The sequence below is a fragment of the Homo sapiens genome, chromosome 9 (assembly GCF_000001405.40).
Source record: "Homo sapiens chromosome 9, GRCh38.p14 Primary Assembly".
Classification (NCBI taxonomy): domain Eukaryota; kingdom Metazoa; phylum Chordata; class Mammalia; order Primates; family Hominidae; genus Homo; species Homo sapiens.
The window spans coordinates 92972509-92994843 of NC_000009.12; the positions used below are offsets into that span (position 1 = coordinate 92972509).

Here is a 22335-nt window from a genome sequence, read left to right on the forward strand (position 1 = left end):
ATCATTATTTTCCTGAAATGTTTGTAGAATTCACCAGTGAAGATCTCTGTGCCTGAAGTTCTCCATGTGGGAAAAGTTTTAACTACAAGGATTTCTTGTGCTTGTTTTACATTGAGCTTCTTAGATGTGTAGATTTATAGTTTCCATCAAATCTAGAAAACTTGTCATTATTTCCTCAAATATTTTTTTTGTCCACCCCTTTTTGAGACTCTGATCACACATGTATTACACTACTTGAAGTTTTCCCACATTTCACTGTTGCTCAGTTTCTCTGTGTGTGTGTGTGTGTTTCATTTTGGGTAGTTTCTGTTCCTGTCTCTTCAAATTCACTAGTTTTTCTTCTGCAATGTCTAATTGGTTGTTAATTCCTTCCAGTGTGTTTTTGGTCTCACACTTCGTAGTTTTCATCTCTGGAAGTTTAATGTGGGCCTTCTTACATTCTCCACGTCTCTACTGGATTTTAGAACATAGGATGACACAGACATGATAGTAGTTTTTAATGTCCCTTTTTGCTAATTCCAACATCTGTGTTAGTTATGGGTCAGTTTATATTGAATTTTTTCTCTTCATTAGTTATAGTCCCTTTTATGCCTGGTAATTTTTTTTTTTTTTTTTTTTTTTTTTGAGACAGAGTTTTGCTCTGTCGCCCAGGCTGGAGTGCAGTTGTGCAATTTCAGCTCACCGCAACATCCGCCTCCTGAGTTCAAGCAGTTCTCCTGCCTCAGCCTCCTAAGCAGCTGGGATTACAGGCACGCACCACCATGCCTGGCTAATTTTTGTATTTTTAGTAGAGATAGGGTTTCTCCATGTTGGCCAGGCTGGTCTCGAACTCCTGCCCTCAAGTGATCCATCTGCCTTGGCCTCCTAAAGTGCTGGGATTACAGGCGTGAGCCACTGTGCCCGGCCTCTGCCTGGTGATTTTTGATTGGATGCCAGACTATGGGAATTTTACCTTGCCATGCACTAGATATTTTTGTAGTTCTATAAATATTTTTTAGCTTTGTTCAAGGATGCAGTTGGGTAAACATATGGACTTCTTCCTGTTAAGTTTTGTTAATATTTGCTAGGTGGGACCAGAGCAGTGATCACTGCAGGGCTAATTATCCATCATTCCTGAAGCAAGACCCTCTGAGTATTCAACGCAATGCCCCGTGACCTGTGGGGCTTTTAGGGCTGGCTGGTGGGCATAGGCGTGTCCCTGCCCTGTGAAAGCTCCCTGTGGTCCTCACAGGTGGTTCTTTCTCTGGCCTCATGTGCTCTCCCCACCGCACACATGCTGAACGGTCCTCGAGGAGCCCCTCTGAGATCTCTGGGTTCTCTCTCTCTCTGCAGCTCTCTCATCTTCAGGGCTCCATGCTGTGGACTCTGGCCACCTTAGTCTTCTGGGCCTCCCAGTTTTGTCTTCTCAACTTAGAGAGTCCACTGGGCCCCACAGGGCTTCCCTTCCCTGATCCATGGCCCAGAAATGGTCTCTGGGCAGTGAGCTGGGGCAATAGGAGGGCTCACCTCATTCATTCCCGTCTCTCAGGGACCACAGTGTTTTACCGCTTGGTGTAGAGCCTTGCAAACTTGTTTCGTAGGTTTTGTCCATTTTTGTTGTTGTTCCAGGTGAGAGTAAATCTGGTTTCTATTACTCCATCCTGACCAGAAGCATAATTCCCCCGAGATGGGGTTGAACCAGGCTCTGTCTTGCCAGACAGCTACCTTTGAACACACCGAGGCTGAGCACAGCTCACATTCCATCTGGTGTATTTTTATTGCTCTGCCATGTTTGACCTCTGGAAACCTGAGTTTATCTCTTGTGCTATGAGAAGAATGCAGCAAAACATGTATTTTCTGTTTAGAAATCTTAATATTGCCCCCCATTGAACTCGTTAGGAATGCGGCAGTAGCCAATCATAAATGCCCACCTGAGCGATTCTGGAGTCATTTAAAGAAACGTCCACTCAAAAGGGGTTTTGCCCCAAGACAGTGAGCACTCAGGAGACTGTGTGTGGTGGGGGTGCTCCACCATAGAGCTGGTCGGCATCCACAGCCACCAGGACGCTGCCAGAGCCCAGGCCTGCGCCACGCCCTGCCCAGAGGCACACCTGCCTGCTCAAGGCAACCAGGGCAGGCTCAAGGCAGCCAGGGCCAGCTCACTGTGTGCCTGTCACTGTGTGAAGCCTGCTTCTTCTTTATTTCGCTTAGCAAGTGAGGCAGGAGCATGTAAAGCTGCTGGCAGAGGAATATCTAATTGTGAGTGTGAGTGCGTGTGTGACTGTGAGTGTGAGCCAGCCCGTCAGTGTGAATGTTTGAGAGAGCCTCTCTGTATGTGCCTGGGGGAGGGTGTGAGGTGTGGGCTAGGGAGGGGCCTGGCGATGCCCACCGGCTCACCTCACACTGGACAGTGCCTGCATGTTCAAGATGACCCTTCCCCTGGGCCGCAGGATGCTGCATGGCAAGGGACAAGCTCAGCCCTGGCCCCAGAGTTTCCAGCCGAGCAAGACACTGCCCACCCTACAGTGCATGGCTGCTGGTGCAGGCCCCACCCTTTTGGAGGCATTGTGTGCCAGCCTGGGGGCTGAGGATATGACTGTGCAGATGGCCATGCCCCAATCCTGGAGTCCACCATGCTGGGTGGTGGCATGGAGCTTCCCTCCTCCGCACCCCCGCAGAGCCGGGGCCTCTGGCTGCTCCAAATGCCAGTTGGAGAAGGTGGTTTTCTTTCTCTACTAATGTCTTTTCAGTACCTCCTAAATGGCTCTACTTTGAACCTGCTGGGCAAGGAAGAGATTTTCAAGGAAACCATCTACCGTGTGCAAGCTCCTGCCGGCCAACCCCAGACCCCAGCACGGAGCCAGGCGCCTGTGCCCGCCGACCCTCAGCATCCTCCTCAGAAAGGCTGGTGGCATCAGGTATGGGGATAAGTGACCGCCACTTGCAGCCCCTAGGCTCCTCGGCAGCTGCGTCTTCGGTTCAAGAGGATGATTTTGAGGGATGACAGTCTCCCTCTAGGCCCGTCTCACCTTTGCTCCTCCTCAGAGGCGCCCGGTGAATTTTCTGTGCACTTATAATTGACACTTGAATTTGGTCCATGAGAGGCATGGTGGGCCAGTGTGAGGTGGCTCCAGTGCACAGGAGGGAGGAGGAGTTTTGGGGCAAAGACCTTGGTCCACATCCTCTGGCAAGACGCACCTCCTGCCCCAGCCCTCCCCTGAGGGAGATAGTAGAGACAGCTGGGACCCTGGACCCCTGGGGGCTGTTTTCTGACCTGTCCAGCAGGCAGTGGTGAGGAGGAGGAGGAGGAGGACACCGGCCTCATGTCCTGGGAGTATCAGAGGATTGAAAAAGCACCACGGATGCGCTATAAACAGAAGCCACTGTGTTCCTTTTGGTTATGGTCACTACCTTGAGCATCTATTTTGAATTTATTGAACAGCAGATAGCTTCACACCACAGGGTTAATTTTTTTTATGCGGAACAAACAATTTTAAAACAAAACATTTTCCATTTTCTGTTCTTTAAAAGCCTGTCTGTACAAGACCCAGCTGAAGCTGACCAGGGCATTCACACTTCACACACAACCCCCAGCCCACCTGCTCCAGGCTTTCGGTGGGGGGCGGAGGGTACTGCCTGGGAGCTGCATTTGGGGGTTGCACCTGAGGGTGCTGGTCCATGCCTGGCTAGCACTGACTCTGGCTTGTTTCTCCCCTACAGGAAGCCCCTGGCCAGCCTCCACCTGAGCCCAGTGAGCTCAGCTTTAAGGATGGAGTCAGGCAGGGGGTCCTCAACCCCTCCAGGACCCATTGCTGCCCTAGGGATGCCAGACACTGGGCCTGGCAGTTCCTCCCTAGGGAAGCTTCAGGCGCTCCCTGTTGGGCCCAGAGCCCACTGTGGGGACCCTGTCAGCCTGGCTGCAGCAGGGGACGGCTCTCCAGACATAGGCCCCACGGGAGAGCTGAGTGGTAGCTTAAAGATCCCCAACCGGGACAGCGGGATCGACAGTCCCTCCTCCAGTGTGGCTGGAGAGAACTTTCCCTGCGAGGAGGGCTTGGAGGCTGGCCCAAGCCCCACTGTACTGGGGGCGCACGCAGAGATGGCCCTGGACAGCCAGGTCCCGAAGGTCACCCCCCAGGAGGAGGCGGACAGCGACGTGGGTGAGGAACCTGACTCTGAGAACACCCCCCAGAAGGCTGACAAGGATGCCGGCCTGGCCCAGGTAGGCTTCCCCTTCTCTGTCCCCGCTGCGGGCTGCAGGCCTTTCCTTAGGAGGGGTTTGAGATTTTCAGTGGGCGTCATCCCACACCTTGTTTCCAGGAATGTGGCACACAGGCTCGTGCTGTGTGCAAGGGGAGGTCCTGGGATGCAGTCTGCCCTAGAAAAGCCTGAGGGAAAAATCCATGCAGGCCAGGCCAAGCCCACCTGACACCTTGAGCAGTGACCTCAGTCCTGAGTCTCAGTTTCCACAACTGCACAGTGGGCACCTCCCGACCCTGGGAAGGTATGATGGTCAGTCCTACTGGTGGTGCTGCCAAAGCTGCCCTTTGCACAGTGCTCACTGCTGACTTTATGAAACTCCTGGGAGGAGACGATGTGAGTGGGGAAACTGTTTTCCTCAATGGGAAACTGAGGCACAGAGGGCATGGTACCTGGCCAGCGTCACCTATGGGGTGTGGCACAGGCTGGGTGCCCTGTGCTCTTCAGGACATGGTGGGGCAGGACCTGTGAGGCCCGCAGTGCAGTGTGGAGACCAGAGCAGACAGTTCCCACAACACGATGGGGCTGCATGGAGGGAGTTTGTTTGCGTTCTCATTAGCGTTTATGGGGCTCTTGGCTCGGTGCTGGGATCTTGGGGAGATGGAGAGGCAGCAGATGGCCTCAGCCTCAGAGAAACTGTGGGTATGGGGGGCACAGCTTGGGTAAGTTGCCAAGTGACCAGGTCCTGGGAGCGCTTTGCGGGTCAGGCTTGCTGGCTCCTAGGTGGGGACGTTGCTGGCTGACACGGGGACCATCGGGAGACGGGCTGGGCAGGTGAAGGGCAGTCCGGTGCCTGGACCACTGTGAGCTGGCTTGGCGGAGACGAGGCCAGGGCTGTGTTCAATGGAGGCTTTATTATCACTCAGGTGTAGGAAGGATCAGACCACTGCCATTGACAAGATGGTTTGTCATCCTCAGTTTCCAAGAGAAAGGGGCATGTCACACCACACCGTGAGGCCACAGGGAAGCCCAGGGTCAGTCAGAAGGCAGAGGGTTCGAGGGGGAACTGTGGGCCTGAGACGGTAATGTGGTTTCTGCGGGAAACTTGAGTTCCCAGCCATGATGGGAATGGGAGGTCAGACACACCTGATTCTACTCCCTCACTTTTGTAGTTTACACACAACTGACCAGCATTAATCTTAAAATAGAGATCAGAAGACTGACAGAATAGACTCTGTGGCAATAAGATACCAAATTATAAACAGGACCAGGCAAGTGTACACACCATACACTTAAAGAATAAACTATATTCTGGCTGGGCGCGGTGGCTCACGCCTATAATCCTAGCACTTTGGGAGGCCGAGGTGGGTGGATCACCTGAGGTCGGGAGTTTGAGACCAGCCTGACCAACACGGAGAAAACCTGTCTCTACTAAAAATACAAAATTAGCTGGGTGTGGTGGCACATGCCTGTAATCCCAGCTAATTGGGAGGCTGAGGCAGGAGAATCACTTGAACCCAGGAGGCGGAGGTTGCGGTGAGCCGATATCACACCATTGCACTCCAGCCTGGGCAGCAAGAAAGAAACTCCATCTCAAAAAAAAAAAAAAAAAGAATAAACTATATTCTAATAGCCACATTCTTTTTCTTTAGCAGCTAAACAAGCAATAAGCAATATTAAAACAACTATAGCTCCACCAGATGCTGACTGACACTCCCACCGCCCACCCCCCCACCCCACCCCCATTCCACCAGCCATAACTGCAGCTTTGATTGGACAAGAGACTGATTAACTTTCTTTCAATGAGAAGATCACTGACTCTGTATGGACTGGCTCTGGCCAGTTTGCAGAGGCTGCACACTTGCGTGCATTTGTGTCCTGAAAAGACCTTTTGGCATACAGAGCCTGACTGTAATACATTTAAATGTTAAGGCTCCACCCCAAGGTGAACATGAATTGCATGTTACACGCACCCTCCCCTCCCCTCCCCCCTCTTCCTTCCCCTCCCCTCCCTTCCCCCATTCGCCTTCCTCCACCCCCCTCCCCTCCCCTCCCCCATCCCCCCTCCACTCCTCTCTGCCCCTCCCCTCCCCTCCCCTCCCCTCCCCTCTCCTTCCCTTCCCTTTCCTTGAGACAGAATCTCATTATATTGCCCAGGCTCATCTCAAACTTCTGGCCTCAAGTGATCCTCCTGCCTTGGCTTCCCAAGTTGTCAGGATTATAGCTGTGAGCCACCATGCCAAGCACCAACTGATTTTTTTGTGTTCATTTTGTATTCTGTAACCTTACTGAACTGGTTCGTTAGTCCTAACAGTTTTTAATGGAATCTTAAGGATTTTTTAGTATAAAATCATGTCATCTGTGAACAGAACTAATTTTACTTTTTCCTTTCCAATTTGGATGACTTTTCTTCCTTTTTCTCTCCTAATTGCTCTGGCTAGGACTTCCCATACTATATTGAATAGAAGTGGTGAGAGTGGGCATCCTTGTCTTATTTCTAATCTTAGAGGAAAAGTTTTAGTCTTTCACCATTGAATATGATGTTAGCTGTGGGCTTCTCATATATGAGCTTTATTATATTGAGGTAGTTTCATTCTGTTCCTAGTTTGTTGAGTGTTTTTTATCATGAAAGGATGTTGAATCCTTTCAAATGCTTTTTCTGCATCAATTGAGATGATCATGTGGCTTTTGTCCCTCATTCTGTTAATGTGGTGTATTACATTAATTGATTTTTGTTATGTTGAACCAGAGTTGCATTCCAGGAATAAACTTGGTCATGGTGATTAATCCTTTCAATGTACTGTTGAATTTCATTTCCTAGTATTTTGTTGAGGTCTTTTGCATCAATAGTCATCAGGGATATTGGCCCGTAGTTTTATTTTCCTGTATCGTCTTTATATGGCCTTGGTATCAGGATAATGCTGGCCTTATTGAATGAGCTGGAAGTATGCCCTCCTCTTCAATTGTTTTGGAAGAATTTCAGGAGGATTGGTTTTATTTCTTTTTAAAATGTTTATAGAATCCATCAGTGAAGCCATCTGGTCCTGGACATTTGTTTGTTTGGAGGATCTTTATTACTAATTCAATCTGCATACTCATTATTGCTCTTTCAAATTTTCTATTTCTTCATGATTCAGTCTTCCCAGGTTGTGTGTTTCTAGGAATTTACCCATTACTGTTCATAGTATTCTCTTTTAGTCTTTTTATTTCTGTGGCACCTCTTGTAATGTCCCCTCTTTCATTTTAGTTGAGTCTTCTCTCTCTCTCTTTTTTTTTTTGAGGCAGTCTATTTAAAAATCACAACATTTAGAAAAAAATCTATACATTTAGACAATAGAATAGATTTTTTTTTTTTTTAGATGGAGTCTCACTCACTCTGTTGCCCAAGGTGGAGTATAGTGGTGCTAACTGCAACCTCCACCTCCTGGGTTCAAGCAATTCTCCCGCCCCAGCCTCCCGAGTAGCTGAGACTACAGGCGTGTGCCACCACGCCCAGCTAATTTTTGTATTTCTAGTAGAGATGAAGTTTCACCGTTTTGGCCAGGGTGATCTCAAATTCCTGGCCTCAAGTGACTCACCTGCCTTGGCCTCCCAAGTGCTGGGATTACAGGTGTGAGTCACCATTCCCAGCCTCCTTTTTTCTTAGTTAACCTAGCTAAATGTTTGTCAATTTTTTTGCTCTTTTCAAAAAACCAACTTTTCATGTTGTTGGTTTTCCTATTGTCTTTCTATTCTCTATTGCAGATACCTAATGTATATAGATATCTCTATAGGTCTGATCTTTATTACTTCCTTCCTCCTGCTAGCTTCAGTTTCAGTTTACTCTTCTCTTTTGAGTTTCTTGATGTGCAGAGTTAGGTTGTTGATTCAAGATTTTTTTTTTTTAATGTACGTATTTATAGCTGTAAAATTCCCTCTTAGCACTGCTTTTACTGCATTCCATAAGTATGATGATTTCATTTTTTTCTTTTATCCATTGGTTGTTTAAGAATGTGTTGTTTAGGCCAGGTGCGGTGGCTCACTCCTGTAATTCCAGCACTTTGGGAGGCTGAGGCAGGTGGATTGCCTGAGTCAGGAGTTTGAGACTAGCCTGACCAACATGGTGAAACCCTGTCTCTACTAAAAATACAAAAATTAGCCAGGCGTGGTGGTGGGCACTTGTAATCCCAGCTACTCGGGAGGCTGAGGCAGGAGAATTGCTTGAACTGGGGAAGTGGAGGTTGCAGTGAGCCTAGATCCCGCCACTGTGCTCTAGGCTGGGCGACAGAGCAAGACTCCATCTCAAAAAAAAAAAAGAAAAAAGAAAAAAAATGTGTTGTTTAATTTGCACATGTCTGTGGATTTTCATTGTGTTATTGAATTCTAGTTTCATTCCATTGTGATTGAAAAAGATGGTTTGGGCCAGGCATGGTGGCTCACGCCTGTAATCCCAGCACTTTGGGAGGCCGAGGCAGTCGGATCATGAGGTCAGGAGATCGAGACCATCCTGGCTAACATGGTGAAAACCTGTCTCTATTAAAAATACAAAAAATTAGCCAGGCGTGGTGGTGGGCACCTGTAGTCCCAGCTACTCGGGAGGCTGAGGCAAGAGAATGGCATGAACCTGGGAGGCGGAGCTTGCAGTGACCTGATATCGCGCCACTGCACTCCAGCCTGGGTGACAGAGCGAGATTCCATCTCCAAAAAAAAAAAAAAAAGAAAAAAAAGAAAGAAAAAGTTTGTATAATTTCAGTCTTTGTGTGTTTGTTGAGACTTGTTTTATGCCTAATATATGGTCTATCCTGGAGAATGTTTCATGTACACTTGAGAAGAACATATATTGTGCTGTTTTTGGGCAGCGTGTTCTGTAATTGTCTGTTTGGTTCAACTGTCTGTAGAGTTGTTCAAGTTCTCTATTTCCTTATTGATCTTCTGTCTGTTTATTTTATTGGTTTATTGAAAGTGAGATATTAAAGTCTCCTAATATTATTTTGCCGATCTCTATTTTTTCCTTCAATTTTGCCAAAGTTTCCTTCATATATTTAGGAGCGCTGAGGTTTGGTGCATAAATATTTATAACTGTCACATCTTTTTGGTGACTTGACCTTTTTATAACTATATAATGTCATTCTTTGCTTCTTGTAACAGTTATTTTTTTTCCAGTTGGCAGCAGTGATTCTTTTTTTTTAAAGTGACAGATACTAGCTGTACATATACCTGAGTTACATAGTGATGTTTTGATACATAGAATATATAGTGATTAGATCATGGCAATTAACATAGCCATCATTTGAAACATTTATCATTTCTTTGTGTTGGGAACACTCAATACCCTCCTTCTAGCTATTGAAACTATATACTATACGATTGTTAACAATAGTCCTTCTACAGTGTCATAGAACACTGGAAATTACTCCTTTTATCTATCTGCAATTTTATATCCTTTAACAAATCTCTCCCTATCCCTCTCTTCCTCCTACGCTTCCTAGTCTCTAGTATTCTCTGCTGTACTTTTTACTTCTGTGAGATCAACTTTTTTTAGCTTCCATGTATGAGTAAGAATATGTGGTGTTTAACTTTCTGTTCCTGGCTTATTTTGCTTAACTAAATGTTGTCTAGTTCCATCCATGTTGCCACAAATGACAGGATTTCATATTTTTATGACTCAGTAGTATGACATTGTCTATATATACCACATTTTCCTTATTCACTCATCTGTTGTTGGACACCCAGGTTGATTCCATATCTTGGCTGCTGTGAATAGTGCTGCAATAAACATGGAGGTGCAGCTGTCCCTTCAATATACTGAGTTCCCTTCCTTTGGATAAATGTCCAGTCGTGTGATTGCTGGATCATATGGTAGTTCTATGGTTTTTCTTTTTAAAAAGAATGTATTCATTCATTTTTTTTTTTTGGAGACAGAGTCTTGCTCTGTCACCCAGGCTAGAGTGCAACGGCAAGATCACCGTTCATGCAGTTCGCTCCTGTTCTGCTTGATATTCATGAACATTTCAGCTCTCCATAAGAGTCCTGAAAGTTTTTCCTCTATTCTAATATCACAATCTCCAACGTTATCAGAAACCTGCATTTAGGAGCACCTGTTAGAGTCCTATAGCTGACTATAAAAACCACCTTTTGGCCAGGGACGGTGGCTCATGCCTGTAATCCCAGCACTTTGAGAGGCTGAGGCAAATGGATCACCTGAGGTCAGGAGTTCAAGACCAGCCTGGCCAACATGGCCAAACCCTGTCTCTACTAAAAATACAAAAATTAGCTGGGCATGGTGGTGCTTGCCTATAATCCCAGCTACTTGGGAGGCTGAGGCAGGAGAATTGCTTGAACCTGGGAGGCAGAGGTCACAGTGAGCTGAGATCGTACCACTGTACCCCAACCTGAGCAACAGAGTGAGACTCTGTCTAAAAAAAAAAAATTCACCTTTTAAAAAGGATTAAAACAAGTCAACAATTGTCTGTGGATGACAAAAAGTCTTATGGTGCCACAGTCAAAGACACAATTGAAAAAGAAATTTGTTATCTCTGTGGCACACTAATTTAACATAACAATTATCATTATTGGTTGGGCATGGTGGCTCACTCCTGTAATCCCAGCACTTTGGGAGGCTGAGGCGGGTGGATCATGAGGTCAGGAGATCAAGACCATCCTGACTAATATGGTGAAACCCCGTCTCTACTAAAAATACAAAAAAAAATTAGCCAGGCGAGGTGGCGGGCACCTGTAGTCCCAGCTACTCGGGAGGCTGAGGCAGGAGAACGGCGTGCACCCGGGAGGCAGAGCTTTCAGTGAGCCGAGATCACACCACTGCACTCCAGCCTGGGCAACAGAGCGAGACTCCATCTCAAAAAAACCAAAAAACGAAAAACAGTTATCATTATTAGTGATAACATAGTAAGTTATGTCATAATTATAGAAGTTTTGCATAATTTTGGAACATGTACCAATAACACATTTATAAGGAGCAGAATAATGCTTTAATAAAACTCTGTTGTGCTTTTATTCCAATGTTCAATTTATGGAAAAACTGAATACTCCTTTAACTCTAGCCAATATGGTCACATACAGAATTTCTTTTACAAGATTAATTTTTACAAACCTTCCACAACTTGCTTTAACCTTTATCTTTATCATATATAATTTAAAACAATCCTTTAACCCTCTAAACTAGGCAAAAATATCCACATTTCCATGCCTTCTTATAATCTTTTACCAAAAGCACATTCTGCTTTCCCTACACATCTTGCATGTAAACTGTTTTTCCAGTAGTGTCAAGTACACGTTACACTGTTAACTCTTAGCAACTTTTACTTTTGGTGAAAAACCTGGTAAGTAAGCAATTCTAATTATGCACTAGGTTTGGAGCCTAGGACATCCAACAGAAATGCAGATAAGATTTGACTCTTTCCAGCATAGATGAGGGGATACAGCTAGCTCTGTATGTCCCCAGGCCTTACCTAGCTGTAAAGCAGGCAAATTGTACAGTTAAGAGTCATGATCGCAGTTTATAAAGCATTTTACAACTTGCACTGACCATCTACGGCATGCTTGGACTTTCTGACTTGACCTAAACATCCCTCTTTTAAACAACCAGTTATTTTACTTTGGGACAAGAATTTACCATACAAAATCCTTTTCATGCAAAATCACTTTTCTTTATAACCTTCCTTACCAACAATACCTTTACCTTTATAACTTTTGAATTAGACAAATTAATTTTCCTTCTGTTAGGAAGTTATGGTTTATACTACATGTTGCTGTATGGGTCCTGTGAAGGGGGAGCAGACAAAGAGGTTATCTACATACTGTAGAAGTTATCCCCCCTTGAGAGATGCCTTGGTTAGATTTTTGCTAGGGTTTGTCCAAATAAGTGTGGGCTATTTCTAAATCCCTGAGGTTAGCCTGTCCAGGTTAAAGTTATTGGTTAAAGATTTAGGTGGCTTTCCCAGGAGAAATAGAGCTCTTAGAGATAAAGATGAATTCAGAGGTCAGGTAAATATTAAGCAAACACCCATCTAGGAAAGTATATTTTTGCCCCAAAGAGGTGTAGGGTATTTAGACACTACCAGGGACTGGTGGGAAAGTGGTAATTGGTCTCTTAAATAATGTAAAGGGGTGTGAATCTTTTTTTTCTTTTTTTTTTTTTTGGAGGGAGGGAGTGCTATTTGCCCACATTACCTGACTGCATTTGGAGAAGAATTGCTCAGAGGAGATTAGCACAGAGTAGGCAGCTCTTGAACCCAAAGGGAAATTTATAATTTTATTTGCTGCCTCCAGAGTCACCCTTGGCTTTGTCCTGCTAGTGCCAATGTCTGATTTGGAAGCCAGCTAGAGCAGAGAGCTCTCCAGCTCAAGGCCATCAGGGGTTGGGATTCTGTCCTGGGGGCCCTTCAGCCTTCAAAGCAGTCCCGTTTCCAGTGGCCAAGCTTTTGGCAGAGAGGGGAAACCATGTGAGGTTTCCTCCCGTTTGTCCCACTGGGGCAGTTTGCCTTCCAGTGGCCTGGCTTCCCACGCCAATGGCAGTTACCTGGAGGAGTGTCCTTAGGGAAACCTGGAGGAGGCTGGTGGGCTTGCAGAGCAGCCAGTAGTTAAGCCTGCCTCTGGTCCCTGCACTTCTCTTTTTCCTTAGCCCTGTCCTCCTGATTCTACTCCCAGTTATAAAAGACTGAGGAGGTGACTTTGAGGATTTCCTGCATAGAGGCACTGGGTTCTGAGGCTGACTTTTGTTATTTCTTCCCAGTTAATTTTGAGGAAAAACAGTATTACAAAGAAAACCTAGTTTTTCTATTTTTGTTTGTTTGTTTATTTGTTTGTTTTTTGACAGAGTTTTGCTCTTGTTGCCCAGGCTGGAGTGCAGTGGCACAATCTTAGCTCACTGTAACCTCTGCCTCCCGAGTTCAAGTGATTCTCCTGCCTCAGCCTCCCAAGTATCTGGGATTACGGGTGTCAGCCATCATTCCTGGCTAATTTTTTGTATTTAGTAGAGATGGGGTTTCACCATGTTGGTCAGGCTGGTCTCAAACTCCTCACCTCAGGTGATCCACCCACCTCAACCTCCCAAAGTGCTAGGATTACAAGCATGAACCACCGCACCTGGCCCATTTTTCTGTTTTAAGGTTTAGGGGATCAAACTTTTCCCACTTTTTGGGAATACATCTGAGGGGTGTGTCCTGTGGTATGGAGATGTGATTACCCATCTGTGAAGAAAGAACAGTGGAGAAAAAAAGGAAAAAGGTAAAATGTGTCCCTTCTTACTTTCCTATTATCTTGAATAGGGCATCCCCCATTCATCCTTAGGGTTCCAGAATGAACCAGTCTTACTGTGTACCCTTAACCTTGGTCCCATTTCATCACAATTACCCACTTGACAACAGAGGAAATACCAGAGTGAACAGTGGGCCCCCTGCTCATCCTTGGGGTTCTGGAATGAACCAGTCTTACCATGTACCCTTAACCTTGCCTTCATCTCTGTTTTAATGATAATCTATCAGCCTTTATCTCTGTCCTATGGGTCTCTTGTGCCTATGGACTTCAGCCAGCCTATATCCTTATCTCCATGACCTTATAGTGACTTGCTCGGAGCATTCTGAGCAACAAAATGATGATCTCTTTTCTCAGAGTCCCATCTCTCATGTTCTTTAAGTAGATGAGAAGCCTGTTTTTCAGCTAACTGCCACAAGGGGGCTGACTCCCCTGCCTTTGAATATGACCTTGAAGGTCTTGATGCATGTTGAGAGGGGTGTGGAAGTGATTAGAGAAATGGAGGCTACAGGAGGAAGTGGGAGGAGGTGAGAGGAATATTCATGGAAAGCCTTTATATGCTTACAAAAATAGCAGCCCTTCCATTTGAGAGGGCGATGTTTATTTTCCCTCTTGACATAAAAGAAGAACCTCTGGAGGACTTGGGGCTTGGGGTAAGAACTTGCAATGGCAAAGGAAGAATGTTCCCTTATCCCAAAAAGGTACTAACTCAAAAAAGCAAGTAGGCAGGGTCCTTAAAGGACCACAGAGTGAGGCCCTGTGCCCGCAGACAAACTGCTTCAAAAGCCACTGGAAAACTTGGCCCTGGGGCATAACAGGAATGAAAAGCACATGGTAAGTCAGAAGGAGCTGGCAGAGCCAGGGTTCCAATTAGTGTCTGTCCTGGCCATGTGCCAGTAGTCAGGGGAAGGGTTAGAGGTCATCCGAGCTGGTAGGGTAAAAACAAGTATAAATCTCATGGCGTATCCCCAAGGGAGCCTGTGTCTTTGCTGCCACACAAATTCAGCAAGAGCCATGAGTGCATGAATAACAGGGAGTGTGTGTTTAAGAAGTCAAGTGACATACAAAGTGAAAACAAAGAGGCAGACTTGCCTCCGAGGTAGACAGTCCAGTGAGTGCACAAGCCATTTCAGAACACACACAGAGAAAACAGGAGAATAGGCAGTATGGGTTTTTGGAAAACAACCAATTTTAGTTGAAAAAGCAGAGGAGGCTGTGTGCAGTGGCTCACGCCTGTAATGCCAGCACTTTGGGAGGCTGAGGTGGGCAGATCATGAGGTCAGGAGATCGAGACCATCCTGGCTAACACGGTAAAACCCCATCTCTACTAAAAATACAAAAAAATAGCTAAGTGTGGTGGTGGGTGCCTGTAATCCCAGCTACTTGGGAGGCTGAGGCAGAAGAATGGTGTGAACCCAGGAGGCGGAGCTTGCAGAGAGCCGAGATAGTGCCACTGCACTCCAGCCTGGACGACAGAGCGAGACTCTGTCTCAAAAAAAAAAAAAAGAAAGAAAGAAAAAAAAGAAAAAGCAGAGGAAACAACAGACATTGCATGGTGTTAGGTTTTAGCCCTACCACTCTCATGAGCCTCCTGTCTAGGAGGGCCATGGGTGCCTCAGTTCTACTCAGTGCAGACTCCAAGGTCCCTCCTCTCTGACTTGAGAGATTCATGTGCTCCGTTTATCCTTTGACTTGGGGTATTCTGCACTGGCATGCTTCCAGGGAGTTACATCCCTTCGCCCCTGATTCTTTCGTGTGGTGGGCTGTCTGCATGCCCAGTGGCCCACCAGCACTTGGGAGGGGCCGTATGTGTAGTGTGTTTACTGGAGTTGTGAGCATGCTCACTTGAGCCATTCTTCCTGTACCTGTCAAGTGTTCCTAGACGGTCATATACCAATTACACTTCACCATTTCGCCCCTTAGCGCGCATGCATGAGTCCATTTATCCAACTCTTGAGATCTTATCAGGAAGCTGATTATCTGTTTCAGGTTTTTCTATCTATTGGGAGACTGCATTTCCCTGGTGCTGGCTGCAACCAGTTATTATTTTAAAGAGGCTGTTTAGCAACCACCTGACCAATGCAGGATTTTTTGCTCCTTAGTTCAGCTAAAATCCGGGTTCTTGTCTCATTACCAGGAAAAATTAGGCACAAGGACACATTGAAGGGTGAGGAGGGCGGATTTATTAGACAAAAAGAAAGCTCTCAGCAAAGAAAGAGGGGTCCTGCCAACAGGCTCCCACCTCACAGATTGAATACCAGGCCACCACACACTAGTTGAAGAGGCCAGGCTTCTCCCCTGCATAAGGCTCCACCCTGCATAAGGCTCCAAGCTACCACCATTCCTGGTAGCTCCACCCCATTTCCCCAGTACCTGTGGGCCTCCAGTCCATTGTGGGCATGCCCAGGCAAGACCCTGCACAGGTTCCCTTACCTACACAAAAACATCTGGCATAAATGCTTGTGGGGCAGGCTGGAGATTCTCCAGGGACCCTTTCTTATCTGCCTCCTGCATCTATCAAGACCATCACCTGATGATGGTCACCTGATATTCCTGGTGTGGCGGGGCCCCTGCTCCCCTGCTCATGTCTGCCTGGCTACCTACCTTACACTAATCTGCCATGTTGACTTCTGATTAATCATAGTTCCAGGAATGCCTCTAAGATTTCTATCTTATTACTGTTCCTTATATAAGAGCAAGTACTTACTGTAAATCTTAATCTTAGGTCATGACAACCTTGATGTTACCATAAACACATATTTACCATAAAACCTGCCCTTAGGCTATGATAAATACAACATTCTTGCCTTTCCCTGAGGGGTTGATTTCAATGTCCTACACACTCCTTCTGAAGCACTGTATACCCTTTCCCTATGGCATGTAAGTCCTGGGTTTGGGGGTTGACAGCATGAAGATCTACCTGTTTTGTGGCCACCCAAGACCATGCTCTTGTCTGTAAGTTCCCCAATAAATCACCCTCTGCTGAGAAACTACATTAGTCTGCCTTGTTCTTTGGTTCCTCAACTCCTTCAGCATTTAGGGGTCTCTGCAAGCACAGCCCTTTCATGAAACATTATCCTCTTCAATTTCTTTCATCAGTGTTTTTTTGTTTTGTTTTGTTTTGTTTTTGAGATGGAGTCTTGCTCTGTCACCCAGGCTGGAGTGCAATGGCGCAGTCTAGGCTCACTGCAACCTCTGCCTCCCAGGTTCAAGTGATTCTCCTGCCTCAGCCTCCTGAGTAGCTGGGACTACAGATGCGTGCCACCACACCTGGATAATTTTTGTGTTTTTAGTAGAGACGGGGTTTCACCATGTTAGCCAGGATGGTCTTGATCTCCTGACCTCGAGATCCACCCGCCTCAGCCTCCCAAAGTGCTGGGATTACAGGCGTGATCCACCGCGCCTGGCCAACCCCTGACCTCTTCATCCGCCCACCTTGGCCTCCCAAAGTGATGGAATTACAGGCGTGAGCCACCGCACCTGGCCTCATCAGTGTTTTTTAGTTTTCTTTTGTAAACCAAAAAGTATCTGATACTGGTTTCAATCAATTTAGAAGTTTATTTTGCCAAGGTTGAGGTCATGCTTGGAAGAAATAAACATGGAATCATAGAAAAACAGTCTGTGGCCTGTGCCTTTCTCCAAAGAGGACTTTGAAGTCTTCAGTATTTAAAGGGGAAAAGTGGGCTGGAGGGGAGAAAGGGAAGGTATGTTAATCCACATGTTGCAAGAGAAAAGGAGCCGGTAGGCGAATAGTCAATTATGTATTCATCTGGTTCTCAGTAAATCGGCACTTTACATAAGATGAGGTAAACATAGGGCAGCCACCTGTGGAGATATTTAACCTTTCATCTATAGCTGTCTGCTTAGGAACAAAAGGAAAGGCAGTTTCTTGCATGACTCAGCTTTCAGCTTAATTTTTTTCTTTTGGCATTATGAATTGGGGTCCTGTGTTTTTTTTTTCCTTTCACACCTTGTAGAGGTTTTTTTTTTTTTTTTTTACCTTTTTCATTAAATGTATTCCTAGGTATTTATTTTGCAGTTATTGTATATGAGATTGCCTTCTTGATTTCTTTTTCAGCTAGTTTGTTGTTTGTGTATAGAAACACTACTGTTGTTCGTATATTGATTTTGTGCCCTTCAACTTTATGAAATTTTTTTTTATCAGTTCTAAGAGTTTTGTGATACAATATAGGTTTTCTATATATAAGATCACATCAGCTAGGTTTAGTGGCTCACACCTGTAATCCCAGAACTTTGGGAGGCTGAGGTGGGAGGACTGCTTGAGCCAAGGAATTCAAGACCAGCTTGAGCAACATAGTGAGACCTTGTCTATACAAAAAAATTAAAAAGTTAGCTGGGTATGGTGGTGCGGGCAACAAGTGAGATCCTGTATCAAAAAAACAAAAAAGATTATATAATCTGCAAACAGGGACAATTTGACTTCCTCTATTCCCATTTGGATGCCTTTTATTTCTTTCTCTTGCCTAACTCTTCTGGCTAAAACTTCCAGTACTATGTTGAATAATAGTGGGGAAAGTGGGCATCCTTGTCTTGTTCCAATTCTTAGAGGAGAAGCTTTCAGCTTTTCTGCATTCAGTAAGATGTTAGCTGTGGGTTTCTCACATATGGGCTTTATTATTTTGAGGTATATTCCTTCTATACCTAGTTTGTTGAGGGCGTTTATAATAAAGGGATGCTGAATTTTATCAAATGCTGTCTCAGCATATATTAAAATGATCATATGGTTTTTGTTCTTAGTTCTGTGAATGTGATGTATCACATTTATTGATTTGTGTATATGGAACAATCCTTGCATCCTGGGATAAATCCCACTCGATTGTGGTTTGTTATCTTTTTCATGTGCTGTTGGATTTGGTTTGCGGGTATTTTGTTGAGGATTTTTTCATCTATGTTCATCAGGGATATTGGCCTGTAGTTTTCTTTTTTGTTGTGTCTTTTCCTGGTTTTGGTATCAAGGTTATGATGACCTTGTAAAATGAGTTAGGAAGAATTTCCTCCGATTCAATTTTTTGGAATAGTTTGATAATTGGTATCAATTGTTCTTTATAGGTTCAGTAGAATTCAGTGGTGAACCCACTGGGTCCTGGACTTTTTTTGTTTGGAGATTTGTTTGTTTGTTTGTTTGTTTGTTTGTTTTTGAGAGAGTCTCACCCTGTCACCCAGGCTGGAGTGCAGTGGCGCAATCTTGGCTCCCTGCAACCTCTGCCTCCCTAGCTCAAGCTATTCTCTTGCCTCAGCCTCCTGAGGAGCTGGGATTACAGTCACCCACCACCACACCCAGCTAATTTTTATATTTTTTTGTAGAGATGGGTTTCACCATGTTTCCCAGGCTGGTTTCAAACTCCTAGGCTCAAGCAGTATGCCAGCCTTGGCCTCACAAAGTGCTGGGATTACAGGTGTGAGCCATTGCACCCGGCCCTTAAATTTCATTCTTAATTTCTTCCTTCATCCATTCATCATTCAGGAGCATGTTATTTAATTTCCATATATTGATATAGCTTTGAATGTTTCTCTTGTTGTTGATGTCTAGTTTTATTCCATTGTGGTAAGATAAGATACCTAATATAATTTTGATTTAAAAAAAATTCTGAGGCTTGTTTTGTGTCCTAACATATTGTCAGTCCTGGAGAATATTCCATGGGTACATGAGAAGAATGTGTATTCTGCAGCCGTTGGGTGAAATGTTCTGTAAATGTCTGTTAGGTCCATTTGTTCTATGGTGTAGTTTAAATCTGATGTGTCTTTGATTTTCTGTCTAGATGATCTATCTAATACTGAGAGTGGGGTGTTGAAGTCTCCAACCACTATTGTATTGGAGGTCTATCTTTCCCTTTATATTTAATAATATTTGCTTTCTATATCTAGGTGCTCTAGTATTTGGTGCATATATATTTGCAATTATATTCTCCTCCTGAATTAATCCCTTTATTATTATGTAATGTCTTTCTTTGTTTCTTTTTATAGTTTTTGACTTGAAGTCTTCTTCGTCTGATATAAGTATAGCTACTCCTCCTTGTTTTGGGTTTCTGTTTACATGGACTATCTTTTTTCATCCTTAACTTTCAGTTTATGTGTGTCTTTACAGGTAAGGGGAGTTTCTTGTGGACAGCATATAGTTGGGTCTTGGTTTGTTAATCCATTCAGCTAGTTTATCTTTTAAACAGGGGAATTTAATCTATTTACATTCAAGATTATTATTGATTGGTGAGAACTTACTCCTATCATTTTATTGATTGTGTTCTGGTTGTTTTGTATATCCTTTGTTACTTCTTCTCATTATTTATTTTTGTAGTTGGGTGGTTTTCTGCAGTGATAAGGTTTGATTCATTTCTTTTATCATTTGTGTATCAGCTTTACCAGTGAGTTTTATAGTTTTACATGTTTTCAAGATGGTGTTTATTGTCTTTTCACTTCCAGATATAAGACTGTCTTGAGCATTTCTTATAAGACTGGTCTAGTGGTGATGAATTCCCTTAGATTTTGCTTGTTGGTTAAAGATTTTATTCCTCATTCCTTTCTGAAGAATAGCTGGGAGGATTGCTTGAGCTCCTGGGTTGGAGTGGCAGACTGTTCTTTTAGCTGAAAGTGTGGCAGTGAGGGTTGGTTTCCCTGCTGTGCAGGAACAGAATCACAGCTGATCCTGGGCCCAAGCTCTATGCATCTGGGGTTGTGGCATTCAAGCACTCATGTGGTCTTGGTGGAATGCAGACGGAGCCCAGTGCTAGAGAGGTACAGTAGCTACTGCCTGGAGCATTCTGGAGGTTGCTCTGGTCTCAGGATGGTGCCATGCCACAGCAGCCTCGTTCACAGTGGGTGGTTGGGGGGTGGGGTGTGTACACTTTGTGATCCTAATCCGGGTGATGTAGCTATGCAAATTCTCACAACTCTCCAAACTGGGCTTGGGGCTTGCGAGGACTGTGGGATTCTCTTGTGTTATACTTTTTCCCTGAAAAGGGAAGTCCCTCCTGACTCTGGATAGATGCTATCTGGTTGGAGGGAGATGGGACCACTAGAGGCTGGGTGCCTCCACACTGCTCTCTCAATCATCACAGGTGCATCTCTACTCCACCACTCACTCCACCGCCAGCCAAATCTTAGTTGTTTGTGCCTTAGTCTTTTCTTGGGATGAGGGGAGGAATGCCAGGTGTTTCTAGTCAGCCATCTTACTGATATCACTCTCCTTCTTTTTTTTGGTACAAGGTCTCACTATGTTGCCCAGGATAGCCTCAAACTCCTGGGCTTAAGTGACCTACCTCAACCTCCTGAGTAGGGGGGACTGTAGGTGTACACCATTGCATCCAGCCTTGTAACAGTTTTTGCTATAAAGTCTATTTTATCTAACTATGGCCACTCCTGCTGTCTTCTGGTTACCATTTGAATGAAGTATCTTTTTCCATCCTGTCACTTTCAGCCTATGTGTGTCCTTATATCTAAAGTGAGTCTCTTCTCAACAGCATATAGTTGGATGCTGTTATTTTTAATCCATTCAGCCAATATGTCTTTTTCTTTTTTATTATTATTATACTTCAAGTTCTAAGGTACATGTGCACAATGTGCAGGTTTGTTACATATGTATACATGTGCCATGTTGGTGTGCTGCACCCGTTAACTCATCATTTACATTAGGTAAATCTCCTAATGCTATCCCTCCTCCCTCCCCTTACCCCATGACAGGCCCTAGTTTGTGATATTCCTCACTCTGTGTCCAAGTGTTCTCATTGTTCAATTCCCATCTATGAGTGAGAACATGCGGTGTTTGGTTTTCCGTCCTTGCGATAGTTTGCTCAGAATGATGGTTTCCAGCTTCATCCATGTCCCTACAAAGGACATGAACTCATCATTTTTTATGGCTGCATAGTATTCCATGGTGTATATGTGCCACATTTTCTTAATCCAGTCTATTATTGATGGACATTTGGGTTGGTTCCAAGTCTTTGCTATTGTGAATAGTGCTGCAATAAACATACATGTGCATGTGTCTTTATAGCAGCGTGATTTATAATCCTTTGGGTATATGCCCAGTAATGGGATGGCTGGGTCAAATAATATTTCTAGTTCTAGATCCTTGAGGAATCGCCACACTGTCTTCCACAATGGTTGAACTAGTTTACAGTCCCACCAACAGTGTAAAAGCGTTCCTATTTCTCCACATCCTCTCCAGCACCTGTTCTTTCCTGACTTTTTAATGATTGCCATTCTAACTGGTGTTAGATGGTATCTCACGGTGGTTTTGATTTGCATTTCTCTGATGGCCAGTGATGATGAGCATTTTTTCATGTGTATGTTGGCTGCATGAATGTCTTCTTTTGAGAAGTGTCTGTTCATATCCTTTGCCCACTTTTTGATGGGGTTGTTTGATTTTTTTCTTGTAAATTTGTTTAAGTTCATTGTAGATTCTGGATATTAGCCCTTTGTCAGATGGGTAGATTGCAAAAATTTTCTCCCATTCTGTAGGTTGCCTGTTCACTCTGATGGTAGTTTCTTTTGCTGTGCAGAAGCTCTTTAGTTTAATTAGATCCCATTTGTCAATTTTGGCTTTTGTTGCCATTGCAATTGCTTTTGGTGTTTTAGTCATGAAGTCCTTGCCCATGCTTATGGCCTGAATGGTATTGCCTAGCTTTTCTTCCAGGGTTTTTATGGTTTTAGGTCTAACGTTTAAGTCTTTAATCCATCTTGAATTAATTTTTGTATAAGATGTAAGGAAGGGGTCCAGTTTCAGCTTTCTACATATGGCTAGCCAGTTTTCCCAGTACCATTTATTAAATAGGGAATCCTTTCCCCATTGCTTGTTTTAGTCAGGTGTGTCAAAGATCAGATTGTTGTAGATGTGTGGTATTATTTCCGGGGGCTCTATTCTGTTCCATTGGTCTATATCTCTGTTTT

At 44.6% G+C, this 22335-nt stretch overlaps 1 protein-coding gene across 5 annotated transcripts in view, besides 1 other annotated feature; it reads left to right on the forward strand.

Annotated features, from left to right (window-relative positions):
• The window catches only part of FGD3 (FYVE, RhoGEF and PH domain containing 3), an 88711-nt gene that overhangs the window by 24986 nt on the left and 41390 nt on the right, over window positions 1-22335 (forward strand). For 3 of the 5 annotated variants that reach the window (NM_001083536.2, NM_001369951.1, NM_001286993.2), the window contains exons 2-3: window positions 2730-2897; window positions 3700-4201. In NM_001083536.2, the coding sequence (NP_001077005.1) occupies window positions 3749-4201 (453 nt within the window). In that variant the 5' untranslated portion in view covers window positions 2730-2897; window positions 3700-3748. Of the gene's footprint in view, window positions 1-1960; window positions 2239-2729; window positions 2898-3699; window positions 4202-22335 lie in introns of those variants that run through there. The other 2 variants (NM_033086.3, NM_001369952.1) reach the window with 1 other exon arrangement.
• Window positions 15426-16124: an enhancer, noted in NCBI's record as "H3K27ac hESC enhancer chr9:95750216-95750914 (GRCh37/hg19 assembly coordinates)". NCBI's record gives its function as "activates a minimal SCP1, AML or CMV promoter by ChIP-STARR-seq in naive and primed H9 embryonic stem cells {active_cell/tissue: H9 hESC(naive and primed)}" and the evidence as "EXISTENCE:reporter gene assay evidence [ECO:0000049][PMID:30033119]".